Source organism: Homo sapiens, chromosome 2 (genome assembly GCF_000001405.40).
Source record: "Homo sapiens chromosome 2, GRCh38.p14 Primary Assembly".
NCBI lineage: Eukaryota > Metazoa > Chordata > Mammalia > Primates > Hominidae > Homo > Homo sapiens.
Genome location: NC_000002.12, coordinates 16096055 through 16120434, shown reverse-complemented (window position 1 = coordinate 16120434; position 24380 = coordinate 16096055). Strand labels below are relative to the sequence as shown.

The following is a 24380-nucleotide window of genomic DNA, read 5'->3' as shown; positions in this document are numbered from 1 at the left end:
TTGGGAGGCCAAGGTGGGTGGATCATCTGAGGTTGGGAGATCGAGACCATCCTGTCTAACACAGTGATTCTCTACTAAAAATACAAAAAATTAGCTGGGCGTGGTGGCACATGCCTGTAATCCCAGCTAGCTACTCGGGAGGCCGAGGCAGGAGAATCACTTCAACCCAGGAGGCAGAGGTTGCAGTGAGCCAAGATCGTGCCACTGCACTCCAGCCTGGGCAACAAGAGCAAAATTCCATCTCAAAAAAAAAAAAAAAAAAAAAAAAAAAAAATGAGAGAGAGAGAAATAAAATGGCATTCTAGCAGACAAGTTTCAAGTACTAGTAGACCACAACTATAATTGCGCAGGGACAAAGCAGTTGCTTACGTTATTACCTGTGGTTGTCTGTGATAATGTGCTCACTGAAAGCAAAGTTCTAAGAGATCAAGTTACCGATGATGTAGAGAATAATAATTACAATAACTTGGATGGGTAGAGAGGAGCTGTTTCTGATTGCACTGAGGAGCTTACATGAAGAGAATTGAAAGATCTGACTTTGAACACCTAGCTTAAAGAACAATCTGAAAACCAGAAAACTTCTGTGTCAGCCCTAAAAGAACCTCCACTTTCTTATATCTTCAGGTTTGATACAGATGAAAGTGAAACCCAAAATTTAATCCTACAGGTTGCACCTATTACAATAGAAGTTGAATTCACAGCCTTGCCAAGTTTAGTAAATGACATTGACTGGGAAAGAGTGGAATTCAGAAAATTAGAATAAATACATTTAGATGGTATATTAGTCCATTTTCATACTACTACAAAAAACTACCTGAGCCTGGGTGATATATAAAGAAAAGAGGTTTAATTGACTCACAATTCCACATGGCTGGGGAGGCCCCAGGAAACTTACAATTATGGCAGAAGGCGAAGGGCAGACAAGGTAGAAAGGCACGTCTTACATGGTGGCAGGAGAGAGAGAGAGTGAGTAGGGAACTGCCACATACTTTTAAACCATCAGATCTCATGAGAACTCACTCACTATCATGACAACAGCATGAGGGAAACCACCTCCATGATCCAATCACCTCTCACCAGGTCCCTCCCCTGACACATGGGGATTAAAATTCCAAATGAGATTTGGGTGGGAACACAGAGCCAAATTATATCAAATAGCTTTAAATAAATATGAAAATCTAGACCTATGAAATACTGTTGAGACTTTTTGTTTTGTTTTTGTTTTTTGTAGAAACAGCCTGTCCTTCCATATCTGAGGAATCCCTATAATCCAAAATCACTATCATGATATAATACATAAAATAACTATAGACTGATGGATTTAGAATTTTCACAATAAAGGATTCCTAAAGAAATTGTAGAAAGAACAGACAGAGGTCTAAAAAAATATTATCTCATCTATCCTCCTTAGTCCACAGTTAGGTAAACTGAGTCCCAGAGAACCCAAGTTCCTTCCCATCGTGCTCCTCAAATGGAAGGGGAACTAAAAGTTTGCAGGTTCAAATTGAGGTCACTGTTTTTTGTTTTGTTTTAGTTTTTGAAACAGAATCTTGCTCTGTCACTCAGGCTGGAACTCAGTGGTGGGAACACAGCTCACTGCAGCCTTAATATCCTGAGCTCAAGCGACATTCCTGCCTCAGCCTCCTGAGTACCTGGGACCACAGGCACACCACCATACCTGACTAACTTTTTTATTTTTTTGTAGAGACGGGGTCTCACTATGTTGCCCAGGCTTGAGGGCACTTTCATCAGGCTCACCCAAGGGAGATTCTCTGTTGCTCATTTCTCAGTTTAATTGTTACCAAAAACCCCACAGTAGTATGACAGTAGCTTTTCAACTGTCACTACTAAACTGCTCTATTTTCTTAACATATGTTCTAGCTTGGGTTTCTAAACACTTATTCGAAGGTTATAAATCCTGATACATACCTGTAGAAGGTGGGCAATCACTCTCTGCGGAAAAAACACAAAATTCAGCTTTAACTTTCACAGGGAAAGTTGGCCTTGCCCAGCACGATGTTCCAGTAATTGAGTAGCTGTCATCTGCTAAAAACAAATGTTCTTTCAACTAAATTTCTGGTATGCCAGCCTCAATATGACACTGCAACTTCACTTCTTTGTAGATTTGCTAATACTTGGTATATTTTCCATGGCAATATGAGGTAATTTAGTCACTGCTAAACTTGATATCACTAATTTATCAACACTCTCCTTTACCAAATGATTGCTGGTGCTTCATGTCTCCATCTTAGAAGCATAGAGGTTGGTACAGAACATTTTCCACCATGTGTTGTGTAATGATGTCTGGGTATATTTATATATACATATATTATTTACTTAAGTATAACAAAGTTATCTTGGGCCAGGCGCGGTGGCTTGCGCCTGTAATCCCAGCACTTTGGGAGGCCCAGGCAGGCAGATTACTTGAGGTCAGGAGTTTGAGACCAGCCTGGCCAGCATGGTGAAACTCTGTGTCTACTAAAAATACAAATTAGCCAGGTGTGGTAGCGTATGTCTGTAATCCCAGCTACTTGGAAGGCTGAGCCAGGAGAATCGCTTGAACCCAGGAGTCAGAGGTTGCAGTGAGCCTAGATCGTACCACTGCACTCCAGCCTATAAGACAGAGTGAGACTCTTGTCTCAAAAAAAAAAAAAAAAAAAAAAAAAGTTACTTGGATGCTGGACAGTAACAAAAGCCTGTAGTTCTAGCCAGAGTCCCAGAGTACCAAAGTGATTTGGCCTCATCCTATGTAAAGTTAACACCCAATGAAACCCCATTTACACTAGACTGTAACTGACCTACATGAAATATTAGGACTGGGAGGAAGGTTGGCAATCAAGTATCACAACCGCCATGAAGTGTACCTCGTCACCATGAGACTAGGTTAGATGCTATCCCTGGGATTCTAAAGATCTGTTACAGCATCTGTCATGGAGGAGAGAAGGAAGCATGAGCTTTAGAGTTAGCGTAATCCATATTCAGATCCAGTTTAGACCATTTACTAACTTTGTGACCAAAGTCTAGTTATAGAACCTCAATTTCCAATTTCCTTACATGTGAAGTGAGAGTAGCAACAGCCTTGAAGGGGTGTTGCAAAGACGAAACTGTATGCAAAGGGCCTGCTGGAGTGGCTGCCACTTATTAGCTGCATGGCCCATTATAATGATTACTTTATTATTGCGAAGACAGACAACGTGTGTACGCATCTGTCACGGGGGGGGGGGGCTCGAAAAATGGCTCTTCATGAACCACATCCTGCTGTAGTCACCTCCCACTGTAGACCTTCCACATTCAATGTGGATTGCCTCTGTGAATTGTTTCAGCCAACAAAATGTGCCAAAGTAGGGGCAGGGGAAGGTGGGTGAGAAGGGTTAATAGGTACAAAAATATAGTTAGAATGAATAGGATCTAGTATTTGCTAGCACAACAGGGTGACTACAGTCAACAATAATGTATTGTATTGTATTGTATTGTATTGTATTGTATTGTATTGTATTGTATTGTATTGTATTATATTGTATTGTATTGTATTTATTTAGAGATGCTAAAGAGTATAACCTTGGACTTGCTGAGAAGGACACAGGGGCTGATGATTACGAGAGGGCTGCCTTTAGAAGACTGCTTCTAGAACCTGAATAGATTGTCTACCAAATCCCTGCCCCTACCCTGTCTACACTGACTTATTCGTTTTCAAACCTCTGCCTCCACAGGTTCTCTATTGAATGAAGAGTAACCACACCCATTTCAGCATTCCCAATCAGGAATCTGGACATTTGTCCAGACCTTTTTCTCCTTCAGCCCCTACATCCAGTTAGAAACCATCCCACCATCATCTTCCCTATCATCTCTATCAATTCTTGAGTGTTTCCTTTGTGAAAAACAACTGTATGAGATGGGGCTCATTTTTATTATCATGCCTGTTTTACAGAGGAGCAGGCTAAAGCAGAGACTCGCTCAAGGTCAGAGACTTGCCCGAGGTTAGAGCTAAGATGGCAAGAGGGTGGGATGAGTTCTAAGCACCGCCCCATATTGCCTCCTTATAGTGATATTCCTAAAATATCCCTTGACAGTGTCCCCCACCCCCCATCTCTACTTCCTCTTCCACTGGTGGGTTATCCCAACCCTTTGTCTACTCCTTAACTGAATCCCCTCCTTGCAAAATTTCTCCACACAGCCTCCAGGGTGAGCTTTCTAAAATGTCAGTCTAACCAGCTGCTTCTGTGAATGGCTCCCCCAGGTTTGCAGAGTGAATTCCAAAGAACAGCCAGCATGCAATCTGTCCATCATCCTGCCCCTGCTGTCACACCTGCAAATAATCCTGAGTTCCAGTGGTGCAGAACGGCTTGGAGTTCCCCAAATACACCAGCTCTCATGTCTCTTCTTGTCTCTGTCTTCTCTCATCCTATCCCCACTGCCACCATTGCTCCCCTCACCACCAAGGACACTGACCAGGCTTCCTCCAGCTTCCCCTCCAAGACTTGGCTGGCCCCGTGTCTCCATCTTTGGAAAACATTTCTAGGCCTTCCAATCTTTCTGTTCCACCGCTTAAAGTGCAGGCCTATTCTAATACACATCACAACATAGTATGCTTGTGTATTTATAGAACTCTAAGTGTGGGTGCTCCCTGGCCCTATCTCTGCCTGCTACCACAACGTCTGACATTTAGTAGGTACTCAGCACTATTTAATCGATGGATGGATGCTGTTTTCTTTTGCTGAAAGAGAATTAACCTCTCACCCACCCCAGCCCCCATCAGACTACATTTTTTTCTCAATCCTGCAAATTAGAGGATATTATTGCTTCTATCAGTGATAGTTTCAGAAATGTAAAGATTAATACGACGAGCAGCAAATGTTTCATCCTTAAGGTGCCACAGGAATAACATTTGCTAATTTGTATTTGCATTTGAAATTGAAACACAAATTGGCACAAGAACTATTACACATCCCGGCTAATTAATGTTCTAAAAATGAATTATGCAAATCAGCCTCAACAGGCCTCAGAAGCTCTTTCCATGTATAATAAATGACTTGGATGTGAACCTTGTTTAAGGGCTGGTTCTGACAAGGGTTGTGTAGTGGAAAGGGCACAGGCTTTGGAGTCAGACTCGGCACAATCTCCCTGGGCCTCAGTTTCTTTATCTATGAACTGGAAATGAGAATGCCTGCTTAACAGGGTTTCAGAGAGAACCAAAGAAATAACCATTACAGAATTCCTGGCTTAAAGTAGCTGCTTTGCAATATTTGTTTCCTTTGACCTTTGGATCCTTCAGGGCGTCCTGCCTCCTCCGGCACCGCCCCTTCCCCTCCTCCTTGACTAACAGCAGTCTTGCCTCAAACATCCAACCATGCCCTCCGTAGCCCTAACACTGTGTGTGTTTTCTTTTAGTGCACCAGGAGTCCACTGAACTCTGTGATCATCTAGCTTGGCCAGAGCATTTCTTAGGCCTTGGGAAGGGAATGTCAGAGCAGCTGGAGGGGGGCCTAGCGACTGCTTGGGTGGTAGAGCCGGCAGCAGTGGGGTTCTGGGCAGCCGTCTGTGTGGTCTGCACAGGGCTCTGATAACCCATCATCCAGGCCGGTAGCATCTCATGGCTCAGCTGGGCCTCAACCAGCGCCACAAGCCCATCTGCACAGCACAAAGTCATAGCATACACCAGGGCCACATGGCTCAGAAAGGACTTGGGACCTGAGCCCACCACGGGCAGGTCTGATGATGACCAGGATGATGAGAAACAGCACACGCAGACCCCTCAAGGAGTCCAGCAAGGATAGAGCTGAGTTTCAACTCACCCCTCACTCTTGTTTCCAACAGGGTCAAAGAAAGCTCCATCGATTCCTGCCTGACAATAATGACTATTACTATGAAGCAAATATTATTAACATCAATCACAGAGGAGGACCCTGGGGCAGAGGAGAGACCACTGAGCGTGCTTGTGGCAGCGTTGGAACCCGGTCCAGTGACTTTAATGATGGTGTTGTCTCCACAGGTGCCCGGGCCACATCGCCCCAGAGTCCAATTTCAGTCCTGTCTATCTCACTACCGCGACACCCCACACAAGGCCTGGCAACCAATGGGTCCTGAGCAAATGTCTCCAGCTGTCACCAGCACTGCAGAGGAGCCTCCGAACGATGAATGCCAGCATTTTCCCACGTCCCCTGAATGGGCCCAGCAAAGCCTTGTCCTGTGCCAGCGTCACTGCCCACCCTCTTTACTCCCACAGCTGCAGGCCGAAAGCTACAGGGGAACATTTAATTTCACAACTGTGCAAACTGCTGCAATACCGACCTGTGGTTGCCAACTTCGGGGATCCCTGAGCAGCTTCTCCACCTGTCTCTGGACAGCTCCCTCCCATTCCTCAAAGATAAGTCTAAGCCTGTACCCCAAGCCCTCACAGCTCAACTCTCACCCCACTCTCACAGATGTCCTTGCCTCCTATGACATCAGGAAGAATGGGTAACCAGACGAGGCCCTTCTTCAACTCCCTCCTGAGGGTCCCTGTGTGCTGCCTAACTCTTCTACCTGTGCCCTGGTCTTCCTCTCTTCCTGCCGCCCCTGGAATATTCACCATCACACACACACACACACACACACAGACAGGGACACACATAGACACAGACACACATAGACACACAGACACTCACATAAGACACATAGAGACACACAAACACACACACACACTCATAGACACACAGACACACATACACACACAGATACAGACACACACACACAGAGACACACACAGACACAAACATATAGACACACACAGACAGGAACACACATAGACATACACACACAGACACACACAGAGACACACACACAGACACAGATACACACTCTCATAGACATACACAGACAGACACACACACAGACACACACAGAGACACAGATACATACAGACACACACAAAGACACATCTACAGACACAAACACACAGACACACACAGACAGGAACACATATAGACACAGATACACACACAGACACACACACATAGATACACACAGGCACACACATAGACTCAGACACACACAGTGACACCCACAGACACAGATACACATACACACAGATATACACACAGATATACACACAGATGCACACATACACACAGACGCACACAAAGACATACAGAGACACACACACAGGCACAGAGGCACACAGTCATAGACATACACACAGACACAGACACACACAGACATACACGCAGACACACACACACTCAGATACAGACACACAGACACATACACATAGAGGCAGAAACATATATAGACACACACAGAGAGTCAGACACACAGACACATAGATATACATTCACAGACACAGAGACACACAGACACACTCACAGAGAGATACATAGACACACACACTCAGACACACACACAATATCCTCACAGACACATAGACACACACAGACACATAGACACACACATACACTCAAAAACACATACGTAGTCACAGGCATACACACAGACACAGATTCAGACACACAAACACAGACACAAACACAGAGACAGACACACTCTTAGACACACAAAACACAGACACATATACACACACACAGAGACACACAAACACACTCACAGACACAGACACACACACGGAGACATGGAGAGAGACACACAGGCATATACACATACCAACACAGAGAGAGAGACAGACACATCCACACGGAGACACATGCGCACACACCGTACCTTTAACTGCTTCCTCTCTTCCAGCCCTGCTCCTCCAGGATGCAGTGGGCTCAGATCTCCTCCATCCTGAAAGATTCTTTCCTTGACCACATCTCTATTGTCTAATGTATCTCTCTCATTTTTCAACAGGCAAAAAAGAGTAGTCTACATTCTAACTTGGGTTCCACAGATCCCAAGTTGATGATGTTCTTAGTGTTCCAACGAACTTACACTCACTCATCAGACCCAGTGAGATGGTTTCAGTCCTCATCTCACGGCACCCCTCCACCGTGTCTGGCTCTGTTGACCACATTATCTTGAAGCTCTTTTCTTAGAGTTCTTGAAGTCAAACCCCCTGGGATTGCTTCCTTCTCAGTGAGCAGTCCCTCTGTCCATCCCTCAAACAGAACTGTCTCCTCAGCCCTGTTCTGGACCAATGTCTTCTTGCCCTAAAAGCTCACTCTTGGTTATTCCATTAACAATTTAGATGGGTGACTCTGTCTGACCTTCTTCTGCCATTGTGACTTGAAGCAGGCTAGAAGAGAATTCTCTCACTTTCCTCTAAAGTAGGTCCAGACAGTAACATATTCAAAGGTGTGGTGTCCTGAAGCAACTCAGTGTTGCTGGAGTGTGAAGTGTGAGGAAGGGGAGGAGGCCACAAGGCCTCCATTCCCAGCTGCGATCGGCCCTAATTCCAACTTGGATGGCCAGCTGCCTGCAAGACAGCTCCAGCAGGATAGGCCGCTGACCCGCCATCCACCTCCACACGCCCAACAATGAACTCATGGTGGCTCCTGTGCCCCTGTGTACTTTGCGTGAGGTGGAGCAGCCAAAAGAGGCCCCTGCAAATTGCCTCCAATCCCTACCTCCAAACCAGAGCTGACTCCTGCCGTTTCACTTTCTGCTTATTTCTAGGAGGCTTGTCAACCTCTCCTCTCCTTCCATCACTGCGCCATTCAAGCCTTTCTCACCTCTTACCTGCACTCTCCGCAACACCCTCCAGGCTGGCCACCCTACTTCCGGGTCTTCCATGACAGTTCATTCCCTACAATAGGCTACTCCTCGCCTCAGGCCCCCCGCCCCCCTACCCCCAATATCTTTCAGAGGCTCCACATTGCCTCTGAAACAAAGCCCAACCTCCCAGCCGCTGTGTGAAGGACCTCCATGACCTTCCCGGCCTGGAGCTTCAGCCACACCTTGTGGCCTCCTCCCCTTCCTCACACTTCATGCTCCAGCAACACTGAGCTGCTTCAGGACACCACACCTTGGAATATGTTACCGTCTGGACCTACTTTAGAAGAAAGTGAGAGAATTCTCTTCTAACTTGTTTCAAGTCACAATGGCAGAAGGTCAGACAGAGACACTTTCCTGCTTCTGCTGTTTTCTCAAATACCAAGGTGTCATATTTGGGGGTAGCATATCCTGAACCCATCATTCGTTAAAAGTGAAAAATCTGGGCCGGGCGCGGTGGCTCACGCCTGTAATCCCAGCACTTTGGGAGGCCGAGGCGGGCGGATCACGAGGTCAGGAGATCGAGACCATCCCGGCTAAAACGGTGAAACCCCGTCTCTACTAAAAATACAAAAAAAAATTAGCCGGGCGTAGTGGCGGGCGCCTGTAGTCCCAGCTACTTGGGAGGCTGAGGCAGGAGAATGGCGTGAACCCGGGAGGCGGAGCTTGCAGTGAGCCGAGATCCCGCCACTGCACTCCAGCCTGGGCGACAGAGCGAGACTCCGTCTCAAAAAAAAAAAAAAAAAAAAAAAAAAAAAGTGAAAAATCTGGAGGATGGAGAAAACCCTCCCAGAGAATGGCTCTTCCTCCCACTCCTCTAGCTTGGCCGGGTGAATTCCTCCTCAGACCTTTTAACCACCGCTGTGCTTGAATAACTGTGGCATTGACAATGAAGATCTGTTTCCTCTCTACCTAATCAGGCATCAAAAATGAAACTTTACCATAAGCAGTATAGTTAGAGAACATTTGAGAGAGAGGAAGGCTGACTTAGAGATCATCTAGTTTACCTCCACATTTTAGAGATTTATGAATAGATAAATCAATAACATGCCGAGGGGAGAAGTGATTGTCTCAAAGGCCACCTTGATGTCAGCAGAGTGAAATTCGAACCCAGACATCAAGGCTTTTGGTGTGGAGTTCTTCCAGTATCTCAGAAGTTAGCTGTTTCTAAAGGACTCACATCTCAAATGGAAGCAGAATTAAAGCAAGCAGAAAGGCACCCAATGCATACAAGAAAGCCAAAATAAATAATTCTCCCCCACCAAAAAAAAACAATAATAAGCAAAACAAAACAGGCAAACCCATGACCTTGGGGCTTCATTCCAAATTTTTAAAGGCTTCAAATTAAAAGTTATTGAATAAAGACCAAGTTTAGCTTTAAAATGAAAAAGAGAACCTGCCATTATCTTCCCTTATTTTACCATCCATTTATTCATTCATTCACCAAATACATTCTGAGCACTCATCCTGTACCGGATTCCCTGCTAGGCACGGAGGACTCAGAGAGGATAACACAAAGTCACTGCCTGGAGTGTCTCATAGCCCAGGAGGAACATGACCCTTACCTGGAGAAATGGCAGACAAATCAGAACATACCAAGTGGAGTAGAGCCTGAATACATGCTCTCGGAATTCAGAGCAAGAAAAATAAAAGACTGGCCGGGTAGGTGCCCACGCACTCAAGACCACTGCACCTTTAAGGATGTAAAAGCCCCATCGGGCTTTGCAGCTGGGGCATGCCATTGAAGGCTGGTTTCAGCATTTGCACCTGATGCAGAGCTGCACCTCTGCATCAGTGATGCAACAAAGAGGAAGTCTGATGCAGGAGAATCAAAGGCAGCCATAGGGTCATATGTATTGAAATCTGCCCCCTTGCCAGTCAGTCTGACAGGGACCCCTTTCTTAGGCTGAAATTAAAGACTCAAGGAAACAGTGAGAACTAGAGGCTAGAGCAGATGGCAGGAATGTGACCACTGGGATAAATTAAGGGTTTACAAAAAGATGCTCTGGTCAGTGTAGCTCCAAGACCTTGTGGCCAAGGCCATCAGCATGTCAATCTTGTCTTAGTAAACTGTACATGTACAAGTAAGGGTGGCAGCATGAAAGGTACCACTCTGCTGCACACAGTAACGAGCCTGATCTGAACACACAGAGCCCTCACGAGATGGTGGCACCAATGGCAAGGCCAAGACTGACAGTGCCTCTGGCCAGCCTTCTGCTTCTAGTTTAGAGGAATTTCCCAACCTCCTACTGAGGAAGAAGATCACATCCCAAGGACATATTGCAAGTATTTTACTGCTACAGGTACCATCTATACAAGTAGGCATCAGCATCTTTGTCTCTTGAGTGAAGAGAGTTTGATTCCTTTCCATTTATTCCTTTGATTGAAAACTTCAGGCTAAAGGACCCGTTCATGTATTATCGAAATTGAAGAAACAGAACTAAGATAAAAACCATCTGCTCACAATCTTGGTACTAGGGAAGGTTCCCTGTGATGGAGAGAACTGCCCCCTGTCACACTGGCACTTGTTACGCGTCTCAGAGGTACGAAGAAGAGATAAGCCTTGGGGTTTTCTGTGCTAGAGAGTAGGGGTGATCCCAGAATTGAAGTATTTTATATGGAAATCATAAGAGAAAATTAGAAAGTCTCACAAGAGAAGTGGTCTCCACAACATTTGTGGTCAGTGCCGCATAATTTCATACTTAATTTTGGAAATAGTACAGTGAAGCAGCAAGAGAATCAACTTTGAAGTCAGACATTCCAGCTTTGAATCCGGCTTCATCACTCACTGCCCATGTGACCTGGGAAGAGGCATCTTATCATCATGCTCATTTCCTCAGCTATAAAGTGTGGTTTATACCTGCACGCTAGGCCTGCTCATTGATCCAAGAGGCATCTAGAATACCTGTTATAGGAGGGAAAAAAGATACCTTTCCTCACCCATCACAAGATTCACAGCTGAGGCATCTATAGCAAAAGACTGATTGACAAGAGAAAAACGTACAAATTTATGTAAGTTTTATGTGACACAAAGCCTTCAGAAATGAAGACCCTGTAGTCCCAGCTACTCAGGAGGCTGAGGCAGGAGAATGGCGTGAACCTGGGAGGCGGAGCTTGCAGTGAGCCGAAACCGAGCCACTGCACTCCAGCCTGGGCAACAGAAAGAGACTCTGTCTCAAAAAAAAAAACAAAAACAAAAAACAAAACAAAAGAAAGAAATGAAGACCCAAAGAAATCAGGAGAATTGTATTTTTTTTTCTTTTTTTTTTTTTTTTGAGACGGAATCTTGCTCTTCACCCAGGCTGGAGTGCAGTGGCGCGATATCAGCTCACTGCAAGCTCCACCTCCTGGGTTCACGCCATTCTCCTGCCTCAGCCTCCCGAGTAGCTGGGACTACAGGTACCCACCACCGCGCCCGGCTAATTTTTTGTATTTTTAGTAGAGACGGGGTTTCACTGTGGTCTCGATCTCCTGACCTCGTGACCCGCCCGCCTCGGCCTCCCAAAGTGCTGGGATTACAGGCGTGAGCCACCGTGCCTGGCTGGAGAACGGTATTTTTATGGACAGTCATTCAGAAGTGTGACTGAAGGACAAAATGGTCTGATCTAACGTGAACAACCTGGCCAGGCAGGGTGGCTCATGCCTGTAATCCCAGCACTTTGGGAGGCAGAGGTGGGCAGATCACCTAAGGTCAGGTGCCTGAGACCAGCCTGGTCAAGAAGATGAAACCCTGTCTCTACTGAAAATATAAAAAGTAGCCGTTGTGGTGGTGCGCGCCTGTAATCCCAACACATTGCAAGGCTGAGGCAGGCAGATCACCTGAGGTCAGGAGTTTGAGACCAGCCTGGCCAACATGGTAAAACCCTGTCTCTACTGAAAATACAAAAATATTGGCCAGGTATGATGGTACATGCCTGTAATCCCAGCTTCTCGGTAGGCTGAGGCAGGAGAATTGCTTGAATCTGGGAGGTGGAGGTTGTAGTGAGCTGAGATCGCACCACTGCACTCCAGCCTGGGCGACAAGGGCAAAAACTCTGTCTCGAAAAAATAAAAATAAAAATAAAAATAAAAATAAAAATAAAAAAGAATGTGAATAAACTACGGTGGCGGGGATCTTAGTAAGACACATTTATCCAGATTATTATCTGTGCCTCTGTGTCTTCATTCCTTTCGTCTGGGTATAAAGAGGAACCCTCTGGACCCACTTTAGAGAAAGGTCAGAGAATTCTTTCTGGCCTGCCTCAGGGGAGAATGGCAGGACAGGGTCAGAAAAACTTCCCTGCTTCTGGTGTTTTCTAAAATGCCAAGGTGCCATATTTTGGGGTAGCATATCCTGAACCCATAACTGTTAAAAGTGAAAAATCTGGACGCAAATCGCCAAAGTTTGAATCCTGGTTCCAATACTGTCTAGCCGCGTGGCCTTTGGCAAGTTCCTTTGCTATGCCTCAGTTTCCTCAACAGTCAAACAATGTATTAGCTATTAATGTATTAGCTCACCTAACATTCCCACTAATCCTAGGAGGTATCAACCTTCTAATATTAATATCACTTCATATTAAGTGAACCAATACATTAATACAATACCTGTGCTTAGTAGGTTCTCCTATGTTAACTGTTGGGATTATTGATTTCTTCATTCAGTGAGTGTCTCCTCCAAGCCAGAACTCTGAGGTGACTAGAACACGTTCCCCAAAGAGATCCCTGTCCAGTAGACAAAATGGCACATGTGCAAATAATTGCACAGTGTGAAGGCTTCGTAAGACAACTTGACCCAGCCTAGAGAATTCCTGAAAAGGTGACACTTGAGGTGAGCTTTGAAGGATAGCGAAAACTGTCCAAGAGGGTACGAAAGTGGAAGTGCATTCCAAAGAGCAGAAGGTAGACTGTGCAAAGACACGGAGGTGAGAAAAGCAGGCTGCACGGGAGCTGTGAGTGCCTCAGAGTCTGGAGGGAGATGTGCCTGGTCCAGCCTGGGAGGATTTCGTTTGGATTTTATCCCAAGTGACTGCAAGTCCAGAGACATTGGGTACAAACCCTCCCAAGAACCAAATCTAACTCCAGAGAATTTGGATTAATTTCCCAATTTATAAAATGAGAGTTTTAAAAGAGATGACCCTTGCAGTCCCTCCAAGCACTGACGCAATTTAATTATCCCCAGATAGCTGGAAAGAGGCAAATTGCACGCTCCATTCCCCGCTTCCCCTAGTACACCTCAGGGCAGCACAAGGCCTGGCGCCCAAGCAATGCCTTTTCCTCTTTCTGAATTTTCTACAGTCTTTGCTAGCTCAGAAACTTCTCATTTTAACAGTTTCCTCACAGTCAGGTTCCAGAAAGCATGCATTTATGAAACTTATCAGCTCTGAATCTTTATTGTATGTGTTTTCTCATTAAAACAAATCAAAAATGCCTGTGCAGATGATGTCAAGGCTTTTAAAATTCAAAACCAAAATGTAGCCATCATCTGAATTGTCTCATGCGCAGGCTGCTGAGATCCGAGAGCCTCGTTTGACAGACAACCTGGGACTCAGCAAAGTAGAGAACCTGGGAGACAGGAGAGAGCTGCTTCCAGCCTGGCTCCTGAGCCTGATAAAATTAGCCAAAAGATGATCTCCATGGCAACAGGAAATTTGTTTCTTAAAGAAGGTTAGAAATAATGCCTTTGGAAGAAACTCCGCGGCAGATAGAATATTCTCAGATTACACATAAATGGTGTCTATGCCAACAAAATGACGGGCCAGGCGGCTCAATTATCTGGATAATTTAGGTCTGAACCAGTGATTTGTAAAAGAATAGGAGGCTTTTAAGACCTGAAGAATGGAATGTGGCAGGCCTGGGCCCAGACTCAGGGGAATGGGAAGGCCAACCCCTCCCAGGAGCGTTCTCTGCCAGTCTCAGGACTCGGAACCGGACTCGCACGCTCAGGGTGTGGGCCTCTGCCGGCTACTTTCCAAGAAGCAATGAGACCTGCTTGGAATTCTTAGTGGGATTATCTGGAAGTTGCTGGCAGAGGGGGTTGGGTGCTGGAGGAAGGAACAGGCAGAGAGATCACGTGTCTCAGGTGCTGCAAGGGAGGAGCCCCCGTTTCCGCTCCCTGTTCTGCATTTCTTTCTTCTCTCCCTCTGTCTTTAGCTCCTTCATTCTATCCCTCCTTGGAAGATGAATAGCCACTTTGTAAACTGAATTCCATTTTACTGGGATCTGTTTTGCAGGGAGACAGCATTGCATGGCGCTGACGTTGCCGCCAGGCTGTGCGGAGTCGAATTCTTCACCACATGCTGGCTGTGTGGGCTTAAACTCTTCGTGTCTCAGTTCCTTGACAGTAAAGGAGTGGAATTGAGGTGAGTATTAAATAAGTTAGTATGTGTGGACATACAGAACAGTGCCTTGCCCTGAGAGCTATCTAAGCATATTCCAGCACCTACAAAGGCTAGGCTGAAATCCCAGACGCAGAGGGACCATGGTAGTTCCTGGATTGAGATCTCTCTCACTGTGAATCGTTAGAGAATTCTAGATGGTGGTAAACGCCACTTGCCATCCAGCCTCCTTGTTATACGATAAGAAACTGATTCCCATCAACACACAGCACTGAGGATGTCCTACTTGTGACAAGCAGTGATTAGCAAATACTAAGTCCCTGGAGACAGGGAGGTGAGGGGCCCTGTCCTAGAGCTTTGAGCTTCCTGCAGCTCCTGGCTCAGGCTGGGCTGGGTAAGGGCTCTGTAAGCATTAAGGATCTTACCTCCTTTTGGCTTTGTTTGTTTATTTATCTGTTTGTTATTTAATGAATGAAGGAATCCCTCAGACAAAGATAAGAATCCCAGTGGCCCAATTAACCCTTTCCAGCAGCTCAGCCTAAAAGTTATGTCCCCTAAAGAGTTCCTTTTAGTAGTTCTGTCTGGTAATACATTCTGAGACCATGTGGCGTGGGGATTCCACAAACCACTCCTTGTGATGCCTCAAGAGCTGCAGACCCCGGAGAACTGGTGTGAGCTCTAGAAGCAAAGTGGGAATCCAGCCACGTGCTTCTCAGGTTTGTGAATCGGCCAAGTTACTTAACCTCTGTTTCTTCATCGTGAAGCATAACCATATCCAACATGTATCGAGCACTTAGTATTTGCCAATAACTGTATAATGGGTTTACACCTATTATCTCATTTAATTCTCACCATTTTAGAGGAGAAGTCAGGGGCACAAAGAACTTACTCACCCACTCAGCAAATAACTTGCCCAGAAGACAGATTTACTTATTGGTTAATAAGTAAATAGCAGAGCTTGGGCAATTATCCTCAGGGCCCTCCTGGTGGTTGTGAGAACTAAGTTTTATAACATTTGGGCTCACAGCAGGAGGTGGCAAATGTTGCTTCTCCTTTCCTTCTCTTCCAAAAACTCTGGACTTTGTCCAGAGGAAAAGTGACCTTGTGTTCTTCCTTCCACCCTCCTTTCCTTCCACTCTTTCTTTCCTTCTTTTTTCTTAGTCCCCTGTTTTTTTTTTATTCACCCAACATTTGTAGAAAACATTCTCAGAATTCTACACCAGCTTCCTTCCTAACAACTAACCTACAAAACTGAACCAGGCAGGGCTGTCCCTGCCCCCAGGCAGCTAGCAGTCTAGCCTTTTGTTGTGCAAGGTTAGCTAATTCCAGGGGAACAAAACAAAAAGAGGGCCAATATCTCCAATTTCTGTTTTGTTTTATTGTCAATCGGAGAAGAGAGAAAATTCACTTGTTGAGCCCCTCCCACTGGTGAGGTGTTCTACGTTCATCCCATTCCATCATCATAGCCAACCTTTGAGAGCTGGTATTATGTTTATTCTTTATGTTAAAAAAAAAAAACAAGAAAGAAAAACTTGAGACCTGGGCTTCTCCGGAGCTAGTCCGCGGATACACAGTGAACAAGAAACCGTGATGGACTTTCGCTCACTCCTCTGCAGGCCACTCTAAGCCTCGGCTTCTCAATGTCCTTCTTTCTGGGCTAAATTTGCAAATGGAGACTCAAAGATGTCTAGACATTTTTCTCTTTTTTAACAATTTTTTTTTGGATGGCTGGGTGCTGTGCCTCACGTCTGTAATCCTAGCGTTCAAGAGGCCAAAACGGGAGGATTGCTTGAGTTTAGGAGTTCGAGACAAGCCTGAGCAATAAAGCGAGATCCCTTCTCTTAAAAAAAAAAAAAAAAAAAAAAAGTGGAAAACAAAGTTTGAAAAGTTTTTTTATTTGCAAAGTCTAATTAGCCGCTGATATTTCCCCTGGTAAACATCCTTCTTATAAATTCCCATACTCAGCCCCTCAGTGGAGCTAGGAGCTGGGTGTGGTGGGGATCCCTGGCCTGCACCCCCTTCTGCCCAGGGCATGCTTGGCATTTGCCAGGCCCGGCTGCAGCCTCAGAGCTCGCCCTAGATTTACGGCAGCGCACACAGCTGCTTCCAGCCAAGGTGAGGCCTTCCTCTTTAATGGTACCGTTTACAAGTCAATAAAGCCCGGATGGAGCGCTGTTTCCGCCGCTGGTCCCACCACTCCGGGCTCCGTTGTCTCACCGTGCAGTCTGGGTGCCAGGGGGCCGGCTCTGGGGACTCTTTTCTCCCGTGATGGCTCTGCTCCCACCTCGGCCCCAGAGCAGCCCAGCCATAAAGGCTTCCCACCCCCATGAGGGCAGAGTTCAAAGCCCGGCTCCCCGGGATCCTCAACTGCCAGCCCCTCCTTGCTTTATGGCTCCTGCAGCCACTGGAGTCTTATCTCCTGTGCTGAGATAAAGGCTCTCAGAAAGCCCCAGCCCCTCAAGATGCCTCGGCCCCTGGGCTCAGGCTCCCCACTGTTCTCTGGGATCTGATCAATGAGCTGGAGGAAAGTAGCCTTTTCAACCCACTGAGACAATGCCCCTCTGCGTGTGGGGGTTTCCCTAAATAAGACCTGCAGGGGCTCTGCCTAGGGGGAAGCTGGGACACCTCGGACCTCCCAGCCAAGAACCCCCAAGCCCAGGCGATAACGAGGTGAGAGATGGAAGCTTAATGGGCCCAGGCGTGTGGGAACGGGGGGCGCAATCCGAGGGACACAGCCCAGCAATGGCAGAGCAAAGTCAGGGCTCGTTCACCTGACCACTAGTTCAGGGAGCAGGGCAGAGCGCCTACTGTGCGCCCAGGGCTGCGCTCCATGCTGTGTGCTCAGCATGGGACAGAGGAAGCAGAACAGGAATCTGCTGGGCAAAGAAGAGGCCAGGGATATTTACAAAAGCCAGACAGTGAGAAAGAGACGGGTTAGGGTCCATCCCCAGAGTGGCTGCAGTGGGGGTGCACCATGGGTCCTTACAGAGCACAGGGCAGCTGGTTGCTCAATCCCTTCCTCCTAGTACATGCCTACACCAGAGACTGGTGGTCCCTGGAAGCCCTGTGGTGAGGGCCTGGTCACCAATCCATCACCGCAAAGTTCAGGCTGAGGCAGCCTGTGTTGGGTGAACCCCAACCCAGGAACTGGGATGACCAGTAGAAGTACCGTGAGCCCAGGGAGACAGGAGTCTAAGAAGGGATGCTTCTCATTCGTACACACACACGCCGGCCTACAAACATCTGCCAACCTGCAGGTGTTTGTAAGTAAGCCCCAACACTTACTTTGTAAGTAAGAAGGCATCCTAAGAGCCTCACTTCTTATGAGAAAAAAACTCAGGCCCAAAGAAGTTCAATTGACAACAGCTAATATAAGGCCACCACTAGTCTACTTGGTCCCTCCATGTGAATTAGAAAAAAGGCGCCCCTGTGGGGTGGGTGCAGCCCCAGGAGGCATGGCTTGTGAACAGACAGCACTTTTGTATAAAGGAACAGGAGCCCTTTCCTTGAGTGCACCCAGGCACTCAAATTGTCAGGGAAAGTGAAGGGTGGACTTCTGCCTCCTGGTTGGGCATCGCTGTGCACCTGTGACTACGCTGAGCTCATAAGAGAAAGTGCCCCCTCCACATAACAGCAGGTGAGGCAGAGAGACCTGCGGGGCTTCTGAGTTGGGCACAAGTACAATTCAGTCCCAGCTCTGTGACACCACTGACCAGCATTGCAGCTGTGGGCAACCCACCATTCCTGCATCTGTAGACTAAGGTGGAAAATACCTACTTCATGGGGCTTGGCAAAGATTGAAGAGTAGATGGTTGTTCTTATTATTCCAATGCCACAAGAGCAGAAGCTGAAGGATCCCCAGAGCCTTGGATGTTTTCCTTCCTTCCTCACTTAGAGAAATGCCTTAGTTATTTGTTTCCTGCCAGAGTATAATTACAGTGCAAGGACCTCATTCTCCAGTCCTGTTTTAGTGAAGAAGGAAGGAAGTCCAGGCCTTTTTACCTCAAACTCCCTGCTCAGAGATGCCATCTGGGAGTTTGACTAATCTGCTGTTGCAGCCAACAACTCCTCTGGGTTCCAGATCTAGGTGCTGTGCAGGCCACTCAGGACTGCCCTTGTCGCCATCAGTCAGCCACTGTTCTCAGCCCTGACCTGCAGGACACCCATCTTCTCCCATGGCCCTGCGAGTTCATGGCTGGAGGAGGAAGGGAGGTCTATCCACACACTCTGAGAAGCACATCGGGGCATTTTGGCTGACGGCCATTCCCACCATGAGTGTATCTGCAAAAATAGCCATTTTGTGTCTCTCTTTGGAGAGCCAGTGCAGAGCCCTGCACCAGAAAAACACTTGCAAAAGCCTCGGAATGACTGTGAACCCATCCTAACAGGGGGCCCTGAACTTGTCCACCTGCTTTAGAGCCCAGCTTGGTGGCTCACCGTATCCAAGGAGGACCGCCGGCTTTGCTCCAGAGAAGTGCCAGGAGAGTTGTTTTCATCAAGTTGAAGGAAGGACACATAACTCTAAGACCAGCCCTGATCTATGACCTGCAGCAAGTTCCTCTGCACTCTGCAGCAAACTCATCTGCAAAATAAAGGAATAAGAATATGTGACCTCCAAGGGCCCTTTCAGACCTGTGGTACTGGGAGTTACAAAGGATCCTTGCCTAATCTGCGGTGTGAATTGAAAGAGAATATTATTTGTGAAGACTCAGCTGCTAGGGAAGAAACTTCCTTTTCAGTGAGATGACCACTGGAGTCCTTCAGCTTTTACAGAAAGAGCCATAAAGTTATTTTGCAAACAAAGTTGACCTTTAATGAAGCATCTTCTGCAGGTTCAAAGAAGAGAGCCCTGGTCCGTGCACCATGAGGTTGGATTCATGTGTAAGGTGTGAACAGAGCAGGAAGATCCTGACGAATGTTGTATTTCAGCTAAGATTTAGGAGATTGCCTCCCACACTCACAAGGGCCCATGTGCTGTCTGCCAGGCCTGTGCTGAAGACAGAGACACAGACACTCCTGCCCTCTAAAAGGGCCTACTCTAGGGGGAGTCATAATGAGGACTCTCCACACACCTGTTTACCAGGGACCTTTGAGAATATCACAGGCCCATGAGGTAGACTGAGCAAGAATGGTCACCTGTATCTTACCAAATAGTTAGCTAAGGCTCAGAGATGCACTCATTTGTCTAAGGCCACACTGCCAGGGAGTGGAAAGTTTGTGAATTCCAATCTTCTGTGTCATAGGCCAACTCTTCTGCAGCCTCTCTCTCCACTGCACCTTGGTGTCTACATGTAACAGAGGACTTAAGACTGAGAGGTTGGCCAAGTATGGTGGCTCATACCTGTAATCCCAGCACTCTGGGAGGCCAGGAGTTCTGGCAAGAATCACTTGAGTCCAGGAGTTCAAGTCCAGCCTGGTTAACATAGCGAGAACCCATCCCTATTTAAAGGAAAAAAGAAAAAAGACTGAGAGGTTATCATCTCTCAGGGTCTCCTACACAGAGTAGGTGCTCAGTGAATACCTGTTGAGTAAAGCCACCAGGTTCTTGGCTCCACTACTCTAGACAAAGACTTGATTTGCATCTTTCCAAGCCTTTAATTTGCTTCTCTCTGGCTCTTTCATCTTGAGTTTTTGTTGTAGGGATGTTTGTTACAGGATTGTGGCTTTTGCAAATGGAAAATTCTAAAAGGTATCAGTCCTGCAATTTTCTTAATCCTGCTGGTATTCCAAGCACAAACTACACAGCATAGTGCTCATTTCCTCTAAAAATGTCACACACTTCTGTCCATCCACAATGGCAGGAAGAGAAAGCAGAGCCTTAGAATTAGGCAGATCCGAGATCTTGTCCCTGTATCACTGGGGTCAAGTATTGGCCTTTCTGAGCCTCAGTGGTCTATTCTGTAGAATGGGGTGAATCTTCACTTTGAAAAGATATCAGAGGGACAAATGAAATTCCTAAAATCCCCAGTACACCATGGGTTGGGTTGGGTTTTTGGCAATGTGAGCTCCCTTATCTTTCCCACTCCCTAAGGAAGACTTGGGCAAGTCCCATCTATGGCCTATTTTCTTCTCGGGAAGAGTTTTTCCACCATCAAGTTCTCTGTCTCATTGGTGTTTCAAAGCCATGAGCCTCCAGAATTATTTGGTAATCATCCCTGCCCAATATGTTCCATGTACAGAGCAGCAGCAGAGCAGTGTACGTGACACACTTGAAAAGATAATTGGTAATGGGGAGTGATTTCTTTATGTGGCTTCCACTTTGCCACTTTGGAGACACAACTATAGAGACTTTGGGGCTCTTCATATCAAGGAAATACCAGCATCATTACAATCAGAGTCATCTTATCTGTTAGGCCCTAGAGCTACAGGACCGGGCTATCAGCTCTTTAGAGTCCTGCAAAATTATTTGAGATCTGAAAACAAAAAATAATTGGCCCTGGGCTGGGCGCGGTGGCTCACGCTTGTAATCCTAGCACTTTGGGAGGCCTAGGCAGGCGGATCACTTGAGGTCAGGAGTTTGAGACCAGCCTGGCCAACATGGTGAAACCCCGTCTCTACTAAAAATATAAAAATTAGCTGGACGTGGTGGCGGGTGCCTGTAGTCCCAGCTACTCAGGAGGCTGAAGCAGGATAATTATTTGAGCCTGGGAGGTGGAGGTTGTAGTGAGCCGAGATGGCACCACTGCACTCCAGCCTGGGTGACAAAGAAAGACTCTACCAAAAAAAAAAAAAAAAAAAAGATTGGCCCTGCAACACAAAATGAAAACTGCAAGGTCAAAGCAGATGGATGGTAAGTCAAATGTCTGAGAAATGTAAAGTTCTTTCATATGCCACTTCCTGAATTGATGAATTTATCATTCATGAAAATTTCATTACATTCAAAAACAGTTTGTTGATTATATTTCATTACTTTGCATGAGTACCCAAATAGGCTGAGAAAATTTTTAAAACTTTCTGTGAAAGTAAAGTATCTATAGCCAAATAATTTCAAAGGCAAAGTTACAAAAGTTCTTTTAAACTTAAAAAAAAAAAAATAGAGATGATGTCTCTCTCTTGTCACCCAGGATGGAGCACAGTGGCACAATCATAGCTCACTGCAGCCTCCAACTTCTGGGCTCAAGCGATCCTCCCACTTTAGCCTCTTGAGTAGCTGGGACTAACAGTATGTGCCAACACACCAGGCTTAAGCTTTTACTAAAGCAAAAATAAATAAATAACATGATGTGCGATGTAAGTATATCATAACATATTTGATGTGATGTTGGGCAGGGTCTCCAAAAATAAGAATGCTAGGCCAGGCACAGTGGCTCAAGCCTGTAATCCCAGCACTTTGGGAGGCCGAGGCAGGTGGATCACCTGAGGTTGGGAGTTCGAGGCCAGCTTGACCAACATGGAGAAACCCCGTCTCTAATAAAAATACAAAATTATCCAGTGTGGTAGCACATGCAGGTAATCCCAGCTACTTGGAAGGCTGAGGCAGGTGAATCACTTGAACCCTGGAGGTGGAAGTTGTGGTGTGCCAAGATCATGCCATTGCACGTGTGTGCATGCTTGTTGCCCGGGCAACAAGAGCAAAACTCCATCTCAAAAAAAAAAAAAAAAAGAATAAAAGAATGCTGAAGGCCTACAGAGGTCTTTAAAGAGTCCTGATATGGTTTTGCTGTTTCCCCACCCAAATCTCATCTTGAATTGTAGCTCTCATAATTGGGAGGGACTGGGTTGGGAGATAATTGAATCATGGGGGCAGGCTCCTCCCTGCTGTTCTCATGGTACTGAATAAGTCTCACAAGATCTGATGGTTTTCTAAGAGGAAATCCCTTTCACTTGGTTCTCTCATTCTCTCTTGCTGCTGCCATGTAAGACGTGCCTATCGCCTTCCATCATGATTGTGAGGCCTCCCCAGCCACGTGGAACTGTGAGTTCATTAAACATCTTTTTCTTTATAAATTACCCAGTCTCCGGTATGTCTCTATCAGCAGTGTGAAAATGAACCAATACAAGTCCCGGCCATCATCTGATCTATTCTGAGGGATCGGGGTTACCTGAGGGATTGGGAGATTCCTGATGCTTTCACCAAGAGGTAAGTTCCCACCTGGGCTGCCCAGCAAGCTGCAAAGCCTTTCAGACATTTGCCGACCCAAGCATCAGGTGCCATCTTCAAATGTGGGGCCAGCCAATTCCCCTCTCCCCAGCCCCTGCTGCAGGGCATTCCACCAGCTCATAAAACACTGGCCATGGAGCCCTGGGTTAATATTTACTCAGTACAAACCATTCTAGAGTCAGAGGCAGAAGGCCAATCTAAAGTTAAAACATTAAAAAGGAAATTTCACCCCCTGCATCCGTTTTACAATTTCGTAAGACTAGACTGTGGCTCACAGGTGGATTTTGCCCACAACCAGTGGCGTTACCTGGAGTACAGGAGAGAATTCTGGGTTTGAAACAGGCTATTTAGATCTACTTCCAGCTCCATCAGTTGCTGACACTGAAGAAATCTTTGTTAATTCCCTTCTAGACTTGTTTCCATCACTGTAAGATGGGGTTGATGATCCCCACCAGGAAACTGTAAGCCCTGAATGAAACGAGTTCTGCTAAGATTTTTGGAACCTGAGAAACACCATACAATGTAAGATGCTTATACATCGTCTGGCCAAGAATTCTTTTTTGACTTTAGTGCAACAATAAAGGACTCCAGCCAGGCGTGGTGGCTCACACCTGTAATCCCAGCACTTTGGGAGGCCAAGGCAGGCAGACCATGAGGTCAAGAGTTCAAGACCAGCGTGGCCAACATGGTGAAACCCCGTTTCTACTAAAAATACAAAAATGAGCCAGGCACAGTGGTGTGTACCTGTAATCCCAGCTACTCAAGAGGCTAAGGCAGGAGAATCACTTGAACCTGGGAAGCACAGGTTGCAGTGAGCCGAGATCGCACCACTGCACTCTAGCCTGGGCAACAGAACGAGACACGGTCTCAAAAAATAAATAAATAAATAAATAAAGGAATCCTGATTGAAATAACATTGGCTTCAATTAACAATGTAATAGTAAATACTGAGATTTAATTGTAGCAAGTAATCTTTTCCAAAGATGAGCACATCAATGTATTTCATATCCCATCTGGTAAACTCTCCTTATACTGGGGTGGATAGTAGGCCTCCATTGAGACATGGGATTCATGCTCCCTCTCCTTGAACCTGGGTGGAACTATCTAACTCCCTCCAGCAATGAAATCTGGCAAAAATGAGTGAGTGACTTCCGTTTCCACCTGGGTCTGTTTACTGGGACCTGGATATTTGGAGCCCTGAGCTGCCACTGAAGGAGTCTGGCTACCCTAAAGCCACGGTGCTGGAGAGACCATGTGGAGGGGCCACATGGAATCAAAGAAAA

The 24380-nt window shown here is 46.3% G+C and overlaps 5 annotated features.

Annotated features, from left to right (window-relative positions):
• Positions 14119-14949: an enhancer, noted in NCBI's record as "OCT4-NANOG-H3K27ac-H3K4me1 hESC enhancer chr2:16245608-16246438 (GRCh37/hg19 assembly coordinates)". NCBI's record gives its function as "activates a minimal SCP1, AML or CMV promoter by ChIP-STARR-seq in naive and primed H9 embryonic stem cells {active_cell/tissue: H9 hESC(naive and primed)}" and the evidence as "EXISTENCE:reporter gene assay evidence [ECO:0000049][PMID:30033119]".
• Positions 14119-15779: a biological region, named in NCBI's record as "CDK7 strongly-dependent group 2 enhancer GRCh37_chr2:16245136-16246335".
• Positions 14222-15421: an enhancer, noted in NCBI's record as "CDK7 strongly-dependent group 2 enhancer chr2:16245136-16246335 (GRCh37/hg19 assembly coordinates)". NCBI's record gives its function as "activates an origin of replication core promoter dependent on BRD2, BRD4, P300/CBP, MED14 and CDK7 cofactors, with strong dependence on CDK7, by STARR-seq in HCT116 cells {active_cell/tissue: HCT116}" and the evidence as "EXISTENCE:reporter gene assay evidence [ECO:0000049][PMID:35650434]".
• Positions 14950-15779: an enhancer, noted in NCBI's record as "OCT4-NANOG-H3K27ac-H3K4me1 hESC enhancer chr2:16244778-16245607 (GRCh37/hg19 assembly coordinates)". NCBI's record gives its function as "activates a minimal SCP1, AML or CMV promoter by ChIP-STARR-seq in naive H9 embryonic stem cells {active_cell/tissue: H9 hESC(naive)}" and the evidence as "EXISTENCE:reporter gene assay evidence [ECO:0000049][PMID:30033119]".
• Positions 16611-17441: an enhancer, noted in NCBI's record as "H3K27ac-H3K4me1 hESC enhancer chr2:16243116-16243946 (GRCh37/hg19 assembly coordinates)". NCBI's record gives its function as "activates a minimal SCP1, AML or CMV promoter by ChIP-STARR-seq in naive H9 embryonic stem cells {active_cell/tissue: H9 hESC(naive)}" and the evidence as "EXISTENCE:reporter gene assay evidence [ECO:0000049][PMID:30033119]".